This window comes from Homo sapiens, chromosome 10 (genome assembly GCF_000001405.40).
Source record: "Homo sapiens chromosome 10, GRCh38.p14 Primary Assembly".
Taxonomy (NCBI): domain Eukaryota; kingdom Metazoa; phylum Chordata; class Mammalia; order Primates; family Hominidae; genus Homo; species Homo sapiens.
The window spans coordinates 113247336-113270719 of NC_000010.11; the positions used below are offsets into that span (position 1 = coordinate 113247336).

General features: G+C 45.1%; 1 annotated feature.

Moving 5' to 3' along the window:
- Nucleotides 5793-6294: an enhancer, noted in NCBI's record as "NANOG hESC enhancer chr10:115012887-115013388 (GRCh37/hg19 assembly coordinates)". NCBI's record gives its function as "activates a minimal SCP1, AML or CMV promoter by ChIP-STARR-seq in naive H9 embryonic stem cells {active_cell/tissue: H9 hESC(naive)}" and the evidence as "EXISTENCE:reporter gene assay evidence [ECO:0000049][PMID:30033119]".

Consider the following 23384-nt stretch of genomic DNA (forward strand, 5'->3'; position numbering starts at 1 on the left):
GAAATGAACAAATTCAGTCATATTTTAACTTTTAGTGGTCACTTTTAAAAAGTGACTTTCCATCCCCAAATAAACCCTCTCCTAGAACCCCAGTACATGTATCAGACAAACTTGTAGTTTGATTGAAGATCTGATTGAAATGGGGCTGGGACCCCATCAGTGACTCCAGGGTGTGCCTCTGCAGCCCCCGTAGCTCACAATGGGGATATCACAGGTCTGGACAGCCAAGGCCCCTCTTGGCCCGCCCCTCCCACCGCATCTGAGCTCCTGTCGCCATCTGCCTGAACTCATTCTGAGTGAAAGAGAGTTCATGGGATCAGCAGGCAGAAAGCGATTTTCCAGGGGGCTGAGGAGTCTGCAGTGGGCTGGAGCACAGGGGGGTTTTTCATTCCTTGAAGCCTTAAATTATTGACTGGGGAAGGAACCACATTTGTGCTTTAATTCCAGATAAGCACATTCTAGCCATTCCGGCTGCATGATGGTTTCCCCTTCCAGCACCCCCATCCTGATGTGTGGAGAAGGAATAGCACCTGCTAGAATTAACTCTTCCATCTCCAGGCCTTCAGTTTTTTTCAGGAAGAGGCAGCAGAGAGGAAGAGCCAGACAAGAGGCTCTAGTCTTCTGAAAACCCTCAACACTGGGGAAAGCACCCCTTGTTTTGGAAGGCAGAGATGTCACCAACACAATTCATCTAGGTGCAACATCTAGGGAACGCCGGAGGTTGGAAGAATTCTAGGAAGAGTTGCCCTCCATAAACAATCTGATTCCTCTTTGGAAATATTGGTGGCTGTGACTATGGGAGTAAGTTGGCTCAAAAACATGAGGCCTCACTCGGTTCCTTCCATTGAATGAGAGGGACTCCAGCAAGTGGCTTTAATGATATTGCAGAGAACTAAACCGCGCTGAATGCTTACCAAGGACTTACAATGAAGCCTCATGCGAAGAGCTTCACAGGGTTTATCTCACTCAGTGCTCACAGCAACTCTGCGAGATGCGTCTTTTCCTGTCTCATTTTCAGAGGAGGACACCAAGACCTGAGAAGGCTAAGAAAACTGCTCATGATCACATCTATAGTTAGAAATGGAGCCAAAACTCAAATTGGGGCTTTGCAACTCTCTGGCAATCCCATCTACTATCCTGAGTCGACTGTCATGTCTTCAATTCAACCACAGGCCAAGGAGATGGGCTGTGATGGATTTCTGTCCTGCTGGGACACTTGCTAGCTGTGCCAGCCTGGGGACAATAATTCCTGCCACATGGGGTTGTTCTAAGGACATGTGAGACACTGAGCACCCACCTGCAGTGCACACTAGTTCCCTGAAAATAACGGAGCTGGACACTGGGGTTACTGACAATGCATCAGGCATGCGTGGCTCAAGTGTTCCATACACATCATTTCATGTAAAACTCACAATGATTCTATGAGTTACTCATTTTATCTCCATTTTCCTGATGAGAAAAGCAGCACAGAGAGGTTAAGAAATTTACCTGAAATCACACAGCCAGCAGCAGAAGTAGATATGAAAGTGGGCAGTCTGCCTGCAGAGCCTGCCCCCAAAACACCGTGTTCTATTGCTTTCTCCTTTTTCATTAATCATCTCAACACATATTTAGGGGATGTTTATTATGTCCAGCACTGTGCTGGGCACTGAGGCAACAATGGTGAACAAAAACATAAACGTGGTTTCTGCTCCCTTAGAACTTATATTCCAGAGAGAGAGACAGACAGTAATCAAATATGTGTAAATATATAATAAATGTAGAATTGCAACTGAAGAAAGATTTATGGACAAGTGCTGTGATGCTCTAAGAGCCTATGATAGGGGACTTAGTTAGGGAGGACAGGAAGGACTTCCTGGAGGAAGTGGCAATTTATCAGTGGTGAGGAGGAGTCTGGGCGTGTAGGAGCATTCCATGCAGAGAGAGCTAGACTTCCGAGGGCCTCTGGCGGGAGGGAGCTTGGGAAGGTGTGCAGAGCATAGTGAGGGGAACAGGAGGCAGGGTTTGCAGGGCCCTGTGCAAAATGAAAATGTGGGCTCTTAAAAAAATTATTAAGAATCTCAGGACAATAAGAGCAGGAACCTTCAGAGTGTGTGTGTTCTTGGGGGTCTTGTTGGTTGCACAGGTCACATGTCCTATGAAGCCAGTCCAGGTAGAGAAAAGGCTGGGGAGGGAGTTGGGCAGATCATAGAGCCCCCAAGTCCACCTCCAGGATTCCCAGTCAGTATTCTGAGAGCAATGGAAGCCACCGAAGACCTCACCTGTGGGTGGGACCTGCTCAGCTCTGTCTCTAGAGGGACCCTCTGGCTGCTGGGTAGGAAAGTGTTTGCAGGGGACTGGGTGGGCGAACTCATAGCAAGCAGGAAAAGAGCCAAGTACCTGGGGAAGTTCTCCACCTCCCCAGGCCTGGCCTGGTTTTCTCCTCCACGGGAAAGGAGAGTGCCGCCCACTCCCTTGATGACCAGAATGCGTGGGCAGAGATCTGGGCCGTGGAGCCTTTTCATGGCCGACGTGCACGGACCTGGCACAAAAGCTCCCCGATCATTTCCTACTGACCTCCCAAAGGCTGATAGATGAGCGTGACTCCCACCAACGTCCAAAGCCAAGGGCATGGGGGCAGCTTGTGAGTGGGAGTTTTGAAGAGCTCTTTTTTTAAAAGAAGGACCCCAGAGCTGAGGACATTGAGAACTGAACCCCTGAGCCTTTCGCCTTCGTGTTCAATTTCAATGCGAGATGGCTGCCCCTGTGCATATATATATATATATATATATATATATATATATATATATATATACATGATAAAGCAAAACCAACCAGAAATGTCTCTTCTCTGAGCCACAGAGAACTTTTCTGAACACCAAAATCAATGGCTTTTCCCCCCATCCTGGTGTGTTGTATGCAGACAGACATTTTACTGTGACAATTATAATAGCTCAGTTGGAAATTACCGTCTGGTTAGGCAGCTGAACCCATGCCTGGATCCAGCTTCAAACGCAGGTATCAGGGGCAAATTAGCACCGACATCAAGTTTTGGATTTTGTAAAAAGTGCTAGGTTGGGAGAAGAGTAGTGTAATTGTTCCCGTAGCTGAGGGTGAAGGTTAATACCTGGGGCCTTGGCTACCTGTGTCCGGGGCTCTCTTATACCTCACGGTGCACTCTTTGTAGACTGCCAAGCACACTGAAGCTCATTATATTTTCAATCTTCATTGAATTCTTCCAGAACACCCATCCTGTCTTTGATTGCTATCAAGAAGGAACAGCCATGATTCCCAGAGTATCAGAGACCCGTCCTTTCCCTTCCGCATGCTCCCCTCACTCAGAGGGAGGCCTCTGTCTCTGCCCAGGGGTCTCTGGGACTCGATGGCCGAAGACTCTGTTGTCTTTGGGGACCTCTCTGTTTAGGTTAATTACACAGATGACAAGGCATTGATGCCTCCTCTCCGGGATGGTTGGCAAACTTGACTAGACTCAAAACGAACCTCTTTGATTCCATCTGCAAAATTAGATCAGATTTGATAAAGTAAAGATGTACCCTTTGAAGTATTCCCCATCAACATAAGTGCTAAGAACACTTGAGTGAAGGAATTTGAGCAGTTTTGAAAGCAGCAGCATAGCAACTTCAATGAGGATTGCAGCTAAGGGCATGCCCAGAAGGCACAGGACTAACTGCATCTATCCTGCAGGCAATAAGCAATTGCTAAAGATTCCAGACTTCTCAAAGTTCAGAGTTCAACGTGGAAAAACTTTGTTGAACTTGTGATAGGCTGGGCTCTGTGGTTTGCATTCTGTTTTCAGAGGCTTTTAGGGTCCCAGCAGTTTTTCTGTTTCTGAGCTGTGTCTCCGCACCACAGGAACAAGGCTGTTTCTTTCTCTTTAACTACCATGCCGAGGTATGAATTAAACTCTCAGCTGCTTTCCTGGGGTATGGTCCCTCCAGAGCTACAGGGCAGGACATCAGCAGGTGAAAAGTGACTGTTTATCCAAATGAAAGGCAAAAGATCTGTGTCAAAGCCCAACTCTGTCACCACCTAGCTGTGTGCCCCTGATGGAGTCCTTTAGTGTGCCCGAGTCTCAGCTTCCTCATCTCTCCAATGTCCCACGACAGCTACAAGTTACTGAGTCCCTTCTACGTGTCAATCAAATCCCTAACTTGCAATCGAACTATGCCCAAATGCGGTTATTGGGCCCCTTCTCCACACTGGAGCCCACACTTGGTGCTGGGGAGGAGATGCTAAATTAATCGCTGCATGGTCCCTCTAGGTCTAGCAGGGCACAGAGAGACCTAAACTAAGGCTATAATAGAAAGTGTCGACTGTGGCGACAGGTGCACGTATAAAGTGCCATGGGAACTCAGAGGAAGGAGCAATTAGCTCTGCCGGAAGGAGCCAAGGAGAGGCGCGGAGGTGAGAGGTGAGGATTTGATCTGATGAGCCAATGAACAAGAAAGCATTTTGCAATTTGTGGAGAGTTATAAAAGGAAAGCTTTTATTCTGATATTAGGTAACATGAAACAGCTTGCAATTTGGGTTATTTTCTCTTAGCTTGGAATGGATTGATGGTAACTTGGGAAACTCTTTAGCTTCAAAGGTATACAAGGATGCTGTGAGGGTTTGAATCCAATAATCAATGCTAAGGGGAAATATTTTTATTAAAAAAATTAAAGTGTGTGAGCATTAGGCCAGTGGGAGGGTTATCAGACCTGAAATGCTACTGTTTTGGGTAGTTTAGATACCCAAACGTGGGTGGGGCCCTTGTGCTGTGACCCTGAGGTCTTCACCTGTCTTGAAGGGAGCTGGAGGTTCAGATGTTGGTTCATACTGTTGGGAAATCCAGGAAGGCCCAATAAATACAGTCGTGTTTGTTTGTTTTTCTCTGGTTCCATATTGAATAACAGCAGTGAGAGTGGGCATCCTCGCCTTTTTCCCGGTCTTGAAGGGAAAGCACTCAGTCTTTCACTATTAAGTGTGGTGTTAGCCCAGCTGTGGGTGTTTTGTAGATGCTATTTATCAAGTTGAGGAAGTCTCCCTCTATTCCTAGTTTGCTGATAAATTTTTATCATGAATGGGTGTAGGCTTGTGTCAAATGCTTTTCCCACATGAATTGATATGATCATGTGGTTTTTCTTCTTTTATCTGTTGATATAGTGGATTATATTGATTGATTTTTGAGCGTTGAACCAGCCTAGCATACCTGGGATAAATCCCACTTGGTCACAGTATATAATTCTTTTTACATACTGCTGGATTCAACTTGCTAATACTTTGTTGAGGGGTTTTGTGTGTAAGTTTATGAGAGATACTGGTTTGTGGTTTTATTTGTACTATGTCTATCTGTTTTTGGTATCAGGGTAATATTAGCCTCATAAACTGAGTTGCTTTCTGGAAATGCTTTCTGGAAGAGATTGGGTAAAACTGGTGTTAATACACTATTTTTTAAAGGCAAGTCTGTTATCTTCAGTAAATCTATATGCAACCCAGAAGTACCTCTTGGTTAGTATGGCAGGAAAGATGGCTTAGTAGCATACTCTGAAACCAGAGCAAACCACAGACCAGAGTCCAGCCCCCTCTAGAAATTGTTTAAATCTAACCTCACCTTACCATGATTTAAACATTTTGTGCACCTCCCTTTACAGGTCCTCCTTAATTTTGGATTTTTTCTTTATTGTGCATTTCCCTTTACAGGTCATCAGTTTGCATCTTTGTGTGTTCATTCAGCGCATCTGGAGCACCAGGTACTTAGCTAGCTAGACATGAGGGGCCTGGTATGACGTGCTGCAAACCAGCCAGCCTGCCTCCCTCCCTTCCCCCTCCCTCCCGTCCTTCTTTTTTCCCTTGCCCCAGGTAGAGAGTCGAGTTTAGCAGCCTACCCAGTGCAGGGCGCACATCCCCTGAGGTCCAGGAGCTGCACTGCCCGATCCCCAGTCTTTACCTGCGTTCCTCCTGGCTGTTAGCATGCTACTTATGCTCACACGTTTGATAGCACATTAGCTTCCTGCTGCTGCACTAACAAATGACCACAAACGGGATGGCTCTAAACAACACAGCTTTATTATCCTCCAGTTCTGGAAGCCAGATGTCTGAAAGGAGTCACACTGGGCGAAATAATTTGTTGGAAAATGATTAGAGCCTGTGCTTCTTCTGCAGGCTCTGAAGGAGAACCTGTTTTCTTGCCTCTTTCAGTTTTTAAAGGCTGACCATATTCTCTGGCTCTTGGCCACCTTCCATCTTCAAAGCCAGGAATGGATGGTCTATATCATTCTTTTAAAAACAATTTACTTTTTTTTTTTTTTTTTTTTTTTTTTTTTAGAAGAGACATGTTCTCACTCTGTTGCCCGGGCTGGAGTGCAGTGGCATAGTCATATCTCATTGCAGCCTTGAACTCCTGGACTAAAATGATCCTCCTTCCGAGCCTCCTGAGTATCTGGGACTACAGGCATACACCACCATGCCTAACTTTTTTATTTTGTAGAAATAGGGTCTCATTTTGTTGCTGAGGCTGATCTTGCACTCCTGGCCTCAGGCAGTCCTCCCACCTTGGCCTCTCAAAGTGCTGAGATTACACGTGTGAGCCACCTACCTGGCCTCTGCAATCACTCCTACATTCTGTATCTCTCTCTTGCCTCTTTTTTTCACTAATAACGACCTGGTGATTATTACACTGGGCTCACCCGAATTCTCCAGGATAGTCCCTCCATCTCAAGGCCAGCTGATGAGCAATCTTAATTCCCTCTGCAACTTTTGTTCTATTTGCCATCTAATCTGACAGGCTCACAGGTTCTCGGGATTGGATGTGGACATCTTCATGGGCTATTACTTATAGAGATATATACATTGGATACATGTACACCATTAGAAGATACACAATATTGTTTTGACTGTGCAAGTGTTCTTTATTTACATGAATGGAAAGGGGCTATAGATCTCTTTCTGACTCGTACTTTTTCATCCAAACCAGTATTTTAAAGTTCTATTCATGTTTACGTGTGCATGGGACATTGCCCCTGACTTCAACATTGTATTCCATACAAGACCTCCTCCATAATCTTCTTATTCAATTCCAATTGGTAGACATCTGGATTGCTTCCAACTCCTCTCTGTTATAGACAATGCTGTGTTGAATACTTCATGCCCATCCCCTCGCGGATCTGGTTGGATTTTCTTACGTGTCGCTCATGCCCATCCCCTTGCGGATCTGGTTGGATTTCCTTACGTATCACTAGGTGATGTTAGGGTGCCGCCCACGTGGCTGCCCTTGTCTACACTCCCAGCAGCAGTGTGTGGGAGTTCCTGTTCCTCTGTGTACTTTGGGCCTGTTTTTGCTTTGGGGTACCAGCCCCCACCATTTCCTAGTTGAGAAGCAGCCTGAAAGAGAAAACAATATTAACTGAGCACCTACTCTGTGACCTACTAGGTGATCCTTTGTTGGAAGCTTCATATACTTTATCGTGTTTCATTTAAAGACAATCCTATATGGTTAATACCATCAAACCCATTTTGGAGACTGAAAAACTAAAGCCAAGAGGGATCAAGTTCTTTGCTCAAGGTCTCATGTTTAGTAAGTGGTAAATCTAGAGTAAAATCCAAGCTGGGATAAATGTCCACTCTTAGTACTCCCATTACACCCTGGGCACACCTGGTTCTTCACAGATATAATAACTCTAAGTTAAATTCTTTGTATGGCAGAGATGGTTGGAGCATGGGCTTTGGAACCAGACCTCAGTTCAAATCCTGGCTCCAGCACTCACTGGCTACATGATTTGGGGTAAGGAACCTAAGTACTTTAAGTCTTGGTTTTCTCATTTGGAGATGGGGACAATGTCCTTCGATTATGTTTGCAAAGCACTTCACAGTGTGCTGTGCCTAGAAGGGCTACATAACTGCTAGGTATTCCTACAGTATCATATCTGTGTCTCCCCACCCACCCCAGACTCAAAGCTCCTCAAGGGTAAAGATTGGGCTTCATTCATCTCTGTGCCGGCTTCAGAGCAACAAGTTCAGTGCTGTCGATTCAATAACCGTTGGTTGAAATACTCAGCTCCAAACCTCACTCTAAATAGAACTGACAATTTTTAGTCTTTGGGGTGAAAATCTTGGATCCCCAGGATGCCTATCAGGGTAGGGGAGAAGAGGGTCTTTGACTCGCATTTCTTTAGTGATCTTGGCTAAACCTTCTTCATAATATCTGTTCATGCTGGTCACGCCCTCTCTCTCCTGCCTAACTGGTCTTTTAAATCCCACTTTTGCTCCCTCTTGGGAATCAATGTGCGATTCCCCTCTGCGTTGTGGAGACTTCTCTCTTTGGGGGAGGGGCCGTCACATTGCCATCAGCACTGCATTCCCTCCTCCGCAGGAAGAAGGTTCTGCACAACTCAAGACTTTGCTGTCAATTAGGCAATTCTGAACCTGTGCGATTTCCTTGAGTGCTTAATAAAAATTGGGTGATTAGTGAACCTCAGGCAGCACTTTCTTAAATAGTCATTAAACAATCATTACAGATGGAAACAGCCACAACCGGCCGCTGTGAGGGAGTGTGTGGCTCCCTACAACATAATCCTTTTTCAAGTCAGAATGAATGTGTAATCAAAGCACAAAAGGGAACAGTTTCAAAGTTCTGAGCTTTCTCAGACAAACCTATCATACATCCAACCGGCCTAAATTGGTGCCCAAAAATGTTCAATGAGAATTGACACACGGTGTAGTGCTCTAAGTAATTCATCACTTAAGTCAGTTTGGGCTTTTTTTTTTTTTTTTTTTTCTCTCTCTCCTTTTAGGGATATCTTCACACCCTTTCAAGTTTGAGAAGTTGTAATTGAGACAGGTATGCCTTGATATTTGAAATAAGTCCTCAAGAGGGTTTCTGAAGGCTACTGGGGTTCCAAAGCTAGACCTAACATTTAGAGCTGTGTGACCTTGCAGAAGTTAATTATTCATCCTGCGCCTCAGTTTCTCCATGGTTAAAACACAGATGATAGCAATGCCTGCTCCATAATAAGCATTTATTAACTGTTAGTGGAATTACCCCCTATTTTTTGATGTGAGTTCTCCCAGAGCAGAAAGGGGGTCATTTAATGGTGAAGACCTCCCTGCTCAAAGATACCATCTCTCCTCCATACTCCACCAGTTATCAAACTTTACTGTGCGTAAGAATCAAAGAGACTTGTTTAAAATATAGACTTGGGCTGGGAACGGTGGCTCATGCCTGTAATTCCAGCACTTTGGGAGGCAGAGGCACAAGCAGTCCTTCAGCTCAGGAGTTCAAGACCAGCCTGAGCAACATAGTGAGACCCCCATCTCTACAAAAAATAAGAAATAACAGATACAATGCTGACCCCTGGAGCCCACCAGGAGAGATTCTGATTCAGATAGGAGTAGGGGTTCAGAAACCTACAGTTTTTAACCAGCACCCAGGTAATTCTAATACAGATGGTTCAAATGCCACACTTTGAAAAGAGATGGATTAGTGTTATTTAAAAGACAGGGAGATAGGGCTATAGTCATATATATGTTAATGTGGATAATTCAATCAGATTGCTTTCTTGTCAATGCTTTAACCAGCTGCTCTTGAGGGAATAGTATTTTTTTGATAGCTTGGAAGGAGAGAGGAGCAACTTTGATCATAAAATATACTTGGAGAGGATGAACCCTCGATGCTACACCTTGGATAGCCAGAGGTATCAGCCTGCCAAAGAGTGGTAATGGTAGAGGAAGAAGTCTGAAGACAAACATGGCTAACTTATCTCTAAGATGTGCTTTGTGGCAAAGATGGCCCTTTATGGTACTGAAAATTGTTTCGAGTCCTTTTGGTTAGTAATGACTGTTTTATATCAATTAGAGCTCTCTCTAATCTTGTTTTGTGGTTTTTCAGACATATAGTGTGATTTCTTTCTTTCTTTCTCTTTCTTTCTTTCTTTCTTTCTTTCTTCTTTCTTTCTTTCTTTCTCTTTCTCTCTCTCTCTTCTCATCTTTCCCTTCCTTCCTTCTTTCTTTCTCTCTCTCTTTCTCTCTCTTTTCTCTCTTCTCTCTCTTCTCTTCTTTCCCTTCCTTCCTCCCTCCCTCCCTCCCTCCCTCTCTCTCTCCCTTCCTTCCTTCCTTCTTTCCTTCCTTCCTTCTTCCTTCCTTCCTTCTTCCTTCCTTCCTTCCTTCCTTCCTTTCTTTCTTTCTTTCTTTCTTTCTTTCTTTCTTTCTTTCTTTCTCTTTCTTTCTTTCTTTCTCTCTCTCTCTTCTTTCTTTCTTTCCTTCTTTCTTTCTTTCTTTCTTTCTTTCTTTCTTTCTTTCTTTCTTTCTTTCTTTCTTTCTTTCTTTCTTTCTTTTCTTTTCTTTCTTTTTCTCAGAGTCTTTCTCTGTCACCCAGGCAGGAGTGCAGTTGCGCTCCAGCCTGCAGTGATCTGGGTTCACTGCAACCTCTGCCTCTTGGGTTCAAGTGATTCTCCTGCCTCAGCATCCTGAGTAGCTGGGACTACAGGCGTGTGCTACCACAACTGGCTAATTTTTGTATTTTTAGTAGAAATGGGATTTCACCATATTGACCAGGTTAGTTTTGACCTCAAGTGATCTGCCTGCCTTGACCTCCCAAAGTGCTGGGATTATAGACATGAGCCACTGTGCCCGGCCAATATAGTGTGATTTCTTAAGAAAAGACGCTGTTCTGGTTTACTTATTATGGTCTTTCTTCCTGTAGGCATTATGTTCTTAGTATGAGGGCTGGAATTCCTAGGATTTCTCTGGCTTTGGATGTTAAATAATTTAGAAGTACAATGTGAGGCTATTCACAGGAAAGCTGTGCCTTGGTTGATATCCTGGCAAGATTCCCTGTGGAAGTGATGGCAGGGACGTGGGCAGGGTGAGTCCAGGCCACCTAGGTTTAGAAGCATATCAGCCCCAAATGTCAGACATGCAAATCTATGTATTTCCTCACAGGCGAAGAGTGTGAAGAATATTTCATTTTACCTGGAAAATCACACAGTGCAATGTACACATGATACAACTAAGTTCATATGTTGGATGGGGTTAGCTGATAGCAGTGTATAGATTAAACAAGATCTGGTACTTGAGAACAATTTAGTCTGAAAGCTGAGAGTAAGGGTTGAGGTGTTAGATCAGTAAAAAGAGAAGATGCTCTTTACTCCACTGACCCTCTATGTTTATAGCTGAAGAATTGATTTCATTTCCTTAAACTTTTCATTTCTGGCTATAAAAGTGATACATGTTCAATGCTGAGCATATGGAAAAATGTGGGTATTTTAGCTTTCTAATATTTGTTCTTAGCAACACACAAACATACACACATAGATTTTATAAAACTGCAATATTACTGTAGGAGCTATTCTGTAGTCTGACTTCTTTTTATTTACAATTATCATATGGAAAAAGTTTCCTATTTTATTTTATTTTTTTGAGACACAGTTTCACTCTGTCACCCAGGCTGGATGGAGTGCAGTGGCACGATCTGGACTCACTCCAACCTCCGCCTCCTGGGTTCAAGCGATTCTCCTGCCTCAGCCTCCTGAATAGCTGGGATTACAGGCATGTGCCACCACACCAAGCTAATTTTTGTATTTTTAGTAGAGACAGGGTTTCACCATGTTGGCCAGGCTGGTCTGGAACTCCTGACCTCAGGTGATCCACCTGCCTCGGACTGGTGTTACAGGTGTTACAAGTGCTGGGATTACAGGCATGAGCCACTGTGCCTGGCCAAAAGTTTCCTGTTTTAATAGTTAATTTTAATTCTCTATTATCAATGGCTTTATTGCACTGTATCTTTTTATTAAGCAAATCTCTCTCATTAGGCATTTAGATTATTTTTGTTTTTTCTACTATACAGACTTGCTGTGATGAAAATTCATATATGTGGATCTTTGTACACATCTCTGATTATGTCCTTGGGGTAAAATTCTTAGAATTGCTTTGTCAAGGGGCATGCACATTTTTAAGGCCTTTGGCATGTATTTGTCACATTGCCATTCAGAAAGGTCATTTCAGTTTTCATTTCTACCAACAGTTAGGAAAGTACCCATTTCCCAGCCTCTACCAACTGAGTATTGCTAATGATTTCTTTTAAAATATCTCGAAATATCTTGTCTTCTTTAGACAACTCCTATAACTACCATATCATTTTCCCCCCCAATCTCTAAATGGTTGTCAGCTATAGTTTGAATAAAATTATGCATTGTGCCAATTTTCTGAGATGTGGACATGGCAGCTTATGTGGCAACTGCTAACGTTCCTGACCTCAAGGGATGAACATTTAGAGTAGCAATCACCCTGTCCCCTCCCCAGCGAAGAATCAGACCAAACCCATCTTCTCCTGGTTCACCTGGAACACTAATCAGATTAAGCCATCCCTAACTGGGGTGGGAAGCATTATGTACAGAGGGATGAACGTTCATTTAGACAGTGCCAAAAATAACTCTTGCATCTGTAAACACAGGGACAGACGGATGATCAGATGGAGTTTCAAGTGCGGTCTCACAAGAGTTGTGTAGTTTGCTCCTCTTCACAGAAACTCACACGTTTCCTAAAGTCCAGATTTTGGAATTTGCTTGGAAAAGGGATATTTGTGGCACCATATGTTTCTCCCAGCCCGACTGCCTTGAAATCTAACCCCTCTGGGTTTATGACTCTTGGATCCCACGGCGACCTCAGTGCCAATGGGCTGTGAAACGGGATTAACGCTCAGGCCAGGCTTTCCCTGGGTCGGCATGGACCCTTGGATACAGAGGCTGCCTTTCCAAGAAAGCCTTGCCATCCTTTTCTGAGTGCAGTCCGGAATGGCATATGAAAGCACAGAGGCTCCCCCGCTCCCATCTGAGTCAGAAACGCAGGAAGGCTGTGCGTCCTCTTGCTTGGATTTATTCCTGGCACCCGGGTTGTTCAGATTTGTAACCTGAAAGGTCAGGAGGGGAGAGGGAAGTGAGACAGAGAGGGGCGGGAGATGGGTTCTGTCTCAAGTGAAAAAGCAGTTAGAGGACACCTCAGCTGGGAGTCAGGAGGCTTGAGTTCTAGTTCTGCCACCACAGCTATGGGACCTCAGGCAAGCCATGGAACCCCCAGGGCCTTGTTGTTGTCACTGTTGGCCAAGGTAAGAGTCCTTACAGCTTTGACTTTCTAAGCATGAAAAGGGGGGACGAAGGAAGATGGAGGCAGGATGAAATGAGACCTTTTAGAGCAGCACTTCTCTACTTTTTTCGTGTCTTGATGCACATAAAAATAATTCTAAGAACTGCCAGGCTGGGTTAATTGGAGGAGGCTTCTCTGAGCTGGAGGCACTACCTCGGGGGCTCTGGCTGCCTTGAAGGCTGCGAACATTGTGTCTCGGGCACACCAAGGGGATGCTCTGCTTCAGAGGACTGAGTCCTCAAACATCATGGCGCACATCTCCAACTACGTTCCCAACAAATGGAAACGATACTATACCGGGGAATAAGTGTCAGGTAAACCCACAGCATTCTGACTTTGCTCGGAATGGCTTTAGTGACGTTTTGAGAAATATCAGATTCTCTTCTCAGACTTTGTTTTCATTGTCCTGCTTCCTGCTGCGGTCTCCATGCTTATTCTTTCTATTGGTGGGGAAGGGTGGCCAGGAAATAGGGTCCCTAGGGAAAGGAGGGAAACAGGGCTGCCAGGGAGGAGGGAGCCCACAGTCCAAGAATCCTCATAATTTCACTGGATTTTGTAGCCAGAGAACACCCAAATCATCTCTGTGTCTCCAATTCTGAGGGCAGCTGGGAGATGTCCAGCTCTTGAAGTCCTAGGTGGGAGTGAAGGGATCACGCATTCCACTTGGGTTCCTGCCTGTCTTTTAGGCTTTTCCTATTTTGCAGTATCAACCCTTTTAATGTGCCTTGTTTATTTTTCCCATACACCCTAAGAAATGGTGAGGTAACTGGGCTAAGATAATTGCTGAACACCTGCAGACGCAGGCCCTGTGCCGTGAGCACGGCTGAGCGAATGTAGGACTCATGACCGCACGGATCAGCTGGCTGTCCCCTCCCCCACCTCCTAAACACCTGCAGAGGCCTGTCACTTGGGACAGGAGGGCCTATTAGGGTTCTTGTAATTGAGATGGGGTGAGGGAGTTTACAATGGCTCCAGAGTGGGGGAGAGAGAAAGACGGCTTAGATGACAGGAAACTGTCTCCTCAGCTTCGTGGAATAGATTGAACAAGGTGGCCTGGGTAATAACGGGGTTAGCTAATCTAGATAGTAATAAGGGTAGGAGAGTCCGTCATCATAATCACAGCTAATGGATTCCAGATGGAGGGATCTAATTGTTCTCATTAGCATGGTTGCACACACACGCATCTCCACGCACACACACGCTCACACTCTGAGAGGCCAATTCTGCCCATGTACCCGACTTTGCTAAGTACTGTCGGATAAGAATAGCCCAACCTGCAGAGCTTGACGGAGAGCGTTGTCAGTTACATCTTTTCCCATGTCCCCTTCCACAACATCCATGCATACGTAATGGTTTCATTAACCTTGCGACTTCTGCAGATGAGTTGAAAACCCAGGCTTACACGGCCAATTAATTGGCAGTGCATTTTGCACAGAGCATGGAGGTACCTTTCTCTCCCACTAAATACTGCCTGACTTTTCGGCTGTATTTCATACGTGCTAATGTAATGTTGCTGAAAGGAAATATGGCCCAAAGCAGGAAACTCCCTGCCACCCCACCGGGATGCAGCTGTTCATTTGGTTTGGGTTGTTAATTCAAACCACTCCCAGGTGCCTATTTCATATTATCTCTTGTTTAGAACAAAATAAAATGAAACTGTCAAAGCCTTTCTGCCTCGCTCGGTCCTGGGCTCAATAGTCCCATAAAGGGACCTGTGCAAGGAAGCAACTGCTAAAACTTGCTTTTCCTCAGCAAGACATTTGGGTCTCAGTTTTTCTCTGGGTCCTCCAGGTGAGACCCCAACCTGGAGCCGATAGACCTTCTCATGGAAAGGTCTTCATGGTCGTCCTGCTCCGGACCTGCATTCCTACTTCTGGGCCTTTGCTCCTGACCTGCCTTGCCAGGGGCACTGTTTCTTTCCCATTTCAAACTCATCTCGCAAAGCCTCCTCTCTGAATCTTCCACTGAGACCTCTGATTTTCTGGTTTGGACTTATAGTAAGTGCTCAATAAATGCTAGCCATTATTAATGTTCCTACTTCATGAAGCAAGTCAGTTGTTCAGTGCTCATAAAATATTTAATAAAGAACTCTCAAGTGGATTTGCCTATGATTTGTGTATATCCCGGTATGCTATTTATAGCCATGCACTCGCTTTTTTATATGGTGAATGCCTCCCTAAGGTGGACTTTTATGTTCTTTGTCATCTGCCCTTGGCCACTCTGCCAGTGGGCCAGAAGCATGCACCGAGAGAGGCCCAGAACCAGAGGAGGGGAAGAGAAACTGAGGCTGGGGAATCTTTGCCTGGAGCCTGGGAATCCTCCTGGAGAGGAGGGTGTATGGCTTTTAAATCCTAGGCTGTTAAAATCTTCAAGACTCTTTGCTTTCTATCCAAAGTGATCTCTTGTTTTCAGCAGCACAAGGAGAATGGCTCTTTGGGGTGACTTTGTTTTCACAGCAGAATTTCTGAGGCTCAGTTATATGGCATCAGGGTCTGTGAGTGGCTGTCACCCCCCCCCCCTTAGTGAGAAAAGGTGTCTTCCTGACTGAACCAGAGCCTTGACCTCAGCACCTAGTCTGCTCGAGGCCTCTGATGATGGGCGGTGACAGGGCTTGACTTTGTGTCCCCACCGGAATCTCATCTCGAATTGTAATCCCCATAATCCCCACATGTTGAGGGAGGGCCTTAGTGGGAGGTGATTGGATCATGGGGGTGGTTTCCTCCAGGCTGTTCTCATGATAGTGAGTGAGTTCTCATGAGATCTGATGGTTTTACAGGTGTTTGACAGTTCCTCCTTCTCTCTCTGTGTGTGTCTCTCTCACTGTCTCTCTCACTCGCTCTCTCTCTGTCTCTCACTGTCTCTCTCTCTCCTGCTGCCTAGTGAAGGTACTTGCTACTTCTTCTGCCATCACTGTAAGTTTCCTGAGGCTTCCCCTGCCATGTGGAACTGTAAGTCAATTAAACCTCTTTCCTTTATAAATTACCCAGTCTTGGGTATTTCTTTATAGCAGTGTGAGAATGAACTAATACAAGAGGTCTTCACATCTTCCCTGCATGGCCCTGGTGAGTTGTGGTCAGCTGTTGTATAGCAGGAGGGAGGTGGGCTCAGTCCCCTTCCTTGGTGCTTTCTGAAAAGGTTGCCCAAAAGAATCCTGCTTTCACTCGCCACATGATGCCCTGGTTTTTTTTTTTTTTGTCTCTCTCTCTCTCTCTGAATTCCCTTGACTTCCTTTATGTAAGAGCCAGCAAGCAAGGGGACAAGGAGGCCAAATTGGCTATACCTTGTGTTACTCAATCAGGAAATTTCTGGAAAACAGCATTTCAGTAAATGGGATCTTGAAATGCTAAGTGTGATACCTTTTTGTTATTGTTGTTTTTGCATAATCCTTAGAAGGATCTGACCACCATAGACTGAGGTCTGTGCTGTTCTGAAACCACTCAGAACCAAAGAGTGGCTGGGCTTGGTGGCTTACACCTGTAATCCCAGCACTTTTGGGAGGCTGAGATGGGAGGATCGCTTGAGCCCAGGAGTTTGAGACCAGCCTGGAAAACATAGGAAGACCCCCATCTCTACAAAATTAAAAAAAAAATTAGTTGGGCATAGTGGTGTGTGCCTGTAGTCCCAGCTACTTGGGAGGCTGAGGTGGGAGGATTGCTTGAGCTTAGGAGTTTGAGGTTACAGTGAGCTATGATTGTACCACTGCAATCCAGCCTGGGTGACAGAGTGGGACCCTGTCTCTTAAAAAAAAAATACAAAGAACATTCATGATCCAGAGAAGGAAGCCTTGCACCTTGTGTTAGAGAGCACATTTTGTATTTTGAGCTGCTTTTTCTATAGCCTGGGGCCTGATTGATTTTGGGTTCAGCCTAACATCTTGGCCTGGGGTCTTGTGGAGAGTTGAGGGACTTAAACAATTCAGATCCGAAGCCCTTGTGTGTGTGTGTGTGTGTATGTGTGTTTAGCACTGACCTTCCATCTGTTGACAATCAAATACTGAACCTATTAAGAGCGGCAGGTCCCCAAGCAGGGAGGAAGGAAGGAATTTCCCATAATCTCTGGAGACAAAGGGCCTTTTGACTGCACCTGGGGGTGAATGGGGACCAGCCCGGGTCAGACGGAGCTGGGGATCAGATGAGCGGGAGAGCAGCAGGTGGGGGTGTGTGCACGCACCTAGCTGAGTTCTGATTTGCCACATGAAGGGGAGTTGGGAGAAGGAGAACATAATAGAGACTGATTAGTCCTGAGAGACTCCAGAATCAGACACATGGGCCCCTGCCTGGTCTCCCTGAGCCCCCTGTATTTTCTCTTTCCCATCGTCTGTGCCTGTCTCTTTGCCTTTCTCTCCCACTAGCCTTTCAGTTTCTTGAGAGCAGGGGCTGTGTCTCCTCATGTTTGAATGGCCCAGCATATAGCAAACACTCAGCAAGCATTCATGGAGTAAGTACAGAGACCCAGAAAGAGGAGTGCTCAGAATAGGACCACAACTCACGCCCACAGAGCCTTTGCATGAATTAGAAAAATGTCACCCTTACAGGCAGACACAGCTCAGTGGGCATACATAGTTTGGTAAGCGAAGAACCCCTCTCTTGGCCAAGTGTACTGTACAAGGTACGTTCTGAACAAGTACACACAGTGGTCATCCCTATGGCGTAGGTATCAGGGATGATGTCTCAGGACCCAGCCTTAGGGACACTTTAGGCTGTGCTGTGCTGATGGGTGCTGGTCTCTCAGGGAGGCAGGAGATGGCTAAAGGCAACATCCTACCCCAGGTAACAACGCCCCCAACCTTAAGATCCGCATACGGGCATTCGCCTCCGACAGCCTTGTCCAGTCTCCTCTTCCAGGGCCCTCTCTCTGCCCTGTCCGTTTATATTATTCTCTGGCTGTTCTCCTTCTGCATTGGACATTTGGTCCCCACTGGGGCTTATTTTGGCACATCTTTAGTAGAGAGTTTACAGTAATCTTTTGGTTCATCCAGACCTCAGTTGAAATCCTGGTTCTGCCCCTAACCCACTGTGAGCTCCTGGGAAGATGTTTTAATTCTCCAAAGAAGTCATCTCAGCTGCACAATGGGGACATGTTGAGGTTATGTGGTGATGCCTCTGCAGGGCTCAGTATGTGTTGGACAGAGAAGCCGCTTCCTGAAAGCTCCGTGAGTCTGTACCAGAGATGGTGGCCCTGAAACCCACTTTGAGGGGTTCCTGCTTTACCATTTCTTTAGATTCCATTTCTTGGGGGTGGCCTCTACAGGGAGCCTTCTGGAATGCAATTCCTAGAGTGCTTCCTGAGAACTCCAGGGTGAACTGCCCTAGACAGATCTCTCTGGAGAATGGGGGAAGGGTGCTGCCAAACTTCAGCAGGTTCCTGGGACTGATGTGACCTCAGGAGTGGCTAGAGGCCCTGGCTATGACGGGTCCCCTCCCACAGGCCTTCCACCCACCCCAACTGTCTCTCCCTTGTATTAGGAAGACTGGGGTCGCTGACTTTATCAACGGAAGTGAGCTGAAATTGCAGTGAAGATTCTGCCTCTACATAAGGAAAATCTCGACAGTCATGCAGAGCCAGAAATGTCCTTAGAAAGTGTCTAGTCCTTCCCCCTTTGCTTTGCAAATCAGAAAACAGGACCCGGGAGGTTAAGAAATTTGTTTAAGGCTCAGTACCCCTTCTGCTATATCCCAGGGCCTCCCTTAACTGTGAGATTGTTTACACTCTAAACTTGCCCTGCCATGGGATTGTGTTATAAAAATTGTTGAAAATGTGATAGCAACCCATGTTTAAGTTTCTGAGGGGTTGCAGGAAGGCCTTGCCCAATCCCGCCCCTCCCCTTCATGACCACATTCGTCTCCCACTCTTCTCCCTGCAGACCATCTCTGATCGTCACACACACAGGCACCACTTTCATTCTTGTTTGCAGGTGCTTGTTTCAGATGGCTTGGGGCTAGAACCCAGGGAAGCAAAGGGAGCCAGCGTTAGCTGGGGGCCCACTGTGTGATGGATATTATGGTAGATTCTTCACACATATAAATGTCCTCATTTAATCCTCCCAAGCACCTTAAGGTCAGCTGAGAATTGTTATAATGGATGGTTATTGATTTAATGATTAAATGAATGGAAGGATGACTTACTGTTAATTATATAATACTTATTATTTTGCTTGGCCCATATCATCTGCATTGCTCTGAAGGATTCTCATCCTTTTGCTCCTTTTCCTCCTGTTTTCTTATCCCTGTGGTACCTATTCTGAACGAACCATAAGCCTGTGGATCTAGTGAGAGAAACACATTCGTATCTCTGTTGATTTGTTGATTTGAAGAACCCAAACCTCAGAGTATAAGAAGAAGATTTGGTGTATTTCTCAACTCACAAATCCTGCAATCCTAGCATATAAACAATAATCTGTATATTCTTAGCTTTCCAGAGAGACAGTGGGACAGGTCAAAGGAGTGAGTGATTCTTCTTCCTTCTTCATGGATGTTACATTTCCATCAAGTGGGTGATAGAAAATTACCCTATACAGAGTAGAATAACATACTGTGTCTGGGTAAGGATGTGTTTCTATTTCTATTTCTTTTTTTTTTTTTGAGACAGAGTACAACTCTGTCACCCAGGCTGGAGTGCAGTGGTGCAATCTCAGCTCACTGCAACCTCTGCCTCCCGAGTTCAAGCGATCCTCCTCCCTCAGCCTCCTGAGTAGCTGGGACTACAGGTGCGTGCCACCACGCCTGGCTAATTTTTGTATTTTTAGTAGAGATAGGGTTTCACCATGTTGGCCAGGCTGGTCTTGAACACATGACCTCAGGTGATCCACCTGCTTCGGCCTCCCAAAGTGCTGGGATTACAAGCCTGAGTCACTGTGCCTGGCCTGTGTTTCAATTTCTATTTTGGCCAGCTATTTGTATGATTTATACTGACCCTTCCTGTTTCAGTTTATTCAGCTATAAAATGAGGCTATACTTTCTGCTTAGTTGGCTTCAAGGTTGTGATTTTCAAAAGATTTTGCCTTGTTTCAGCTGATTTTGTATGGTATGCTGGGAAAAGGTGCATAGGAGAAGGATGAGTTGATAGACTTCAGTTCTAGTCTGAAATCAACTTCATACTTGATCTTCCATTCTTGACTCCAGAAGGTTCCCTGTAAAGTCCACCGTTCAAGATGGATCTGCCATTTCTCCACTTGCAAAATGGAAATAAGAATGATCTCTATTACACTATCTTTGTATGTGATTGTAGATACTGAAATGAATTGTTAGAAACAAAAGTGCTTGAGAATGATAAAGTGCTACCCGTGCCAAGCGAGGGCTAATAATGATAATGCCAGTTGCTCATTCTGCAAAAGTTTCTTTAGCTTGTGGATGACTCATTTGAAAATGGAAATTATGTGGTTCTGTTTATTTGCTTCATATTTTGTGATTTAGTTCTCAATTTGGCACACAGGCAGACAGTTTAGGAGGATCCAACTATTTTCAACAAATACTGTTATTATTTCCTAAAGCCTCGGTCTCTGGGCAGTTTGAAATGTTGGTCCAAGTTCACCTATAGGCAAGGGGTATTTGTTGAGCCTCAGAGGGAAGAGAAGCTTTTTTCCAAGGTGGGACTGGGGTGCAGCAAGGGAAAGCAGAGACAGACAAGAAGAGGAAGAAGGTGCCAAGAATTAGAGCTTGTCCATGGAGGCAAGCCAGAGATGAATTAATCATGACATGCTGAAAAAAAAACAAAAAAAACAAAAAAAAAAACCAAAAAAAAAAACCCAACAAAAACCCCCACAGCAAACAAATGATCCTGGCTTTCATTTACCAGTCAATCAAATGGCAAAGAAACCTTATGCCTCTGTGATGAGGAAACCAGATCTTTCATCCAGTTGGGTCTGCTGTGAGTCAAGGGGAAGAGACAGTGTAATGACCAGGCTTGACCATGACCATTTGGCTTGCAGCAATCATCAGAGCCTTGGACTGCAGTGAGAAAGACCCAAGGATGAGCAGGGAGCCACACGCACTGCCTCATGCTCTGTGCAATGTAAACAGTGGTACATCTGGGCACCTCATGTTCTTATACCTTGGAGTGGAGTAGAAACCAGCCTGTGCAAAGATGAGCCAAGCCTGGGGAGTGATTTGGAAGAAGCAGCAGATGATGAAAATGTTTAGATAGGGCAGTGTCTCCTCCAGAAAGGGGGCGCAGGGTTGCATATTTCCATAGACCTGAGGGTTGCAATCTTTCTAAAGCAGCCTGCTCTGGCTTCATTCACTCTCTGGCAATGGGGAGTGAAAATGGGGAAGAAATCTGAGTAGTGTTGGTGGTGGTGGTGATGGTGGCAGTATCCATAGAAGCTGTGTGGGGAGTTTATTGACCAAGGCAGACGAAGTGTGATAGTAGTTACTGTTCCTGTCTGCCAAGCACACATGCATTCTCCTTCCCTCTCTCTAGTAGCACAAACTGCCTTCCATGTAGCTGGGTCTACATCAGTCCCAACACTGCCTTTTCCTGGCCATATGATTGGCTAAGGAATTAGCATATGTCCCAACCAGGGCCAATTGGAGTCCTTCCCTGAGATCGATATATGGATGCTGGGAGAAAAAAACTGGCCTGCCTTCTGGTGAGAGAGTTAAGCTTTGAAGCTGTAGTTTTGGAGTTTCTGGTGGTGAGCTTTCTCACTTCATGGAGAAGGCCTGTCCACTGCAGGAAAGAATAAGATCATCATTCAGAGTAGCCGAGCTGAGAGATAAAGAGCCTGATGACATCATTTCAATCCCTGGATCCAATCATGATAGAGGCTAGATGTGTCCCTACTTTCCCAGTTAAATGAAACCCAAAAGTCTTTCTGTTTGTATAAGCATATTTGAGCTGGGTTTCTGTCACCTGAACCTAGACAGTCTGGAGGAGGACAGTGTGGAGGCAGGGTCAGGGGAAGGCAGGATTGAGCAGGAGAGAAGTCAAAGGGAAGGAAGCATGAGTAGTAGCCTTCTGTAGGAAGCTGGGAGCTCACTCTGGTTTTCTGAGGCTTCATGAAGCCTGAGCTCTGAGAAAGGACGCTCACTGTAGAAAGACACCTCTGCTTTTGTTGAGGAATCAGTCCCTGGCTCCTGGAATGTGGATATCTACATATATTCAGGTTCTGTACCTCCGTCCCCTGCCAGGCCACTCCTTGGCCAACCAAAAAAACCCATGAGGAATGTCATTAGTTAAGATGCTGAGGTTAGGCAGGTGAGCTTGAGAGTCAGACAGACTTTGATTTCTAACCTCAGTCCTTACCAGCAGAATGGCCTTGGACAGATGACTTAAGCTCTCTACCACAGTTTCCTTGTCTCTCAAAAGAGGCTGATAGTTAGAGCCATCTCAAAGGATTGTTGTGAGAATCCAGTCAGCCAATGGATGCCCAGAGCTTTGCACCATGGGAAACACCCAATGGTAATGGCTATTCAATTCCCATGAATGGGGGAATGTATGAGGTGGATTATGAGACCCCCAGCAATTCAGTGCATGAAGGCGATAATATGGAAGAACCCCATTAGTATACTGTTAAGATTTTTTTGAGTGATAAAATTTTCGAAAAAAGTTTACTTAATTTTTTTTTTTAAAAAAGGAAGTTGGAAGGCATATACTCCAAATAATGGAAATCAGGGACAAAAAGAGATACTTATATGCCCACATTCATAACAGCTTCATTCACAATAGCTAAAAGGTAGGAGCAACCCATGTGTTCATCAGTAGATGAGTGGATAGGTGACATGTGGCCTATAAAATAAATAATGTTCAGCCTTAAAAAGGAAGGAAATTCTGACACATGCTACCACCTGGGTGAACCCTGAAGACGTTATGCCAAGTGAAATAAGCCAGTCACAAAAGGACACATATTATGTGATTTCACAGAAAGCAGAATGATGGTTTCCAGTGGCTGAGGGGAAGGGAGAAGGGGGAGTTATCATTTAATGGCTATAGAGTTCCAGTTTAGAAGGTTAAAATGAGTTCTGTGGATGGATGATGGTGATGGCTGCATAAGTGTGAGGGACTGTACTTAATGCCATGGAACTGTATCCTAAAAAATGGTTAAGATGGTATTTTACTATAATTTAAAAAATAAAAGAAGACATTAGAGCCATATGCATAGTCAGAATGCATTTTTATTTTAATGAAAGTATTAGGTTGGTGCAAAAGTAATTGCAGTTTTTGCCATTACGTTCAAATACATACATTTTGTATAAGTATGGTGGGCAGAGGAAAGAAGGAGGAATGGACTGCATGCCAAATTGTTTACACTGCCTCTATGTGGGATTGGG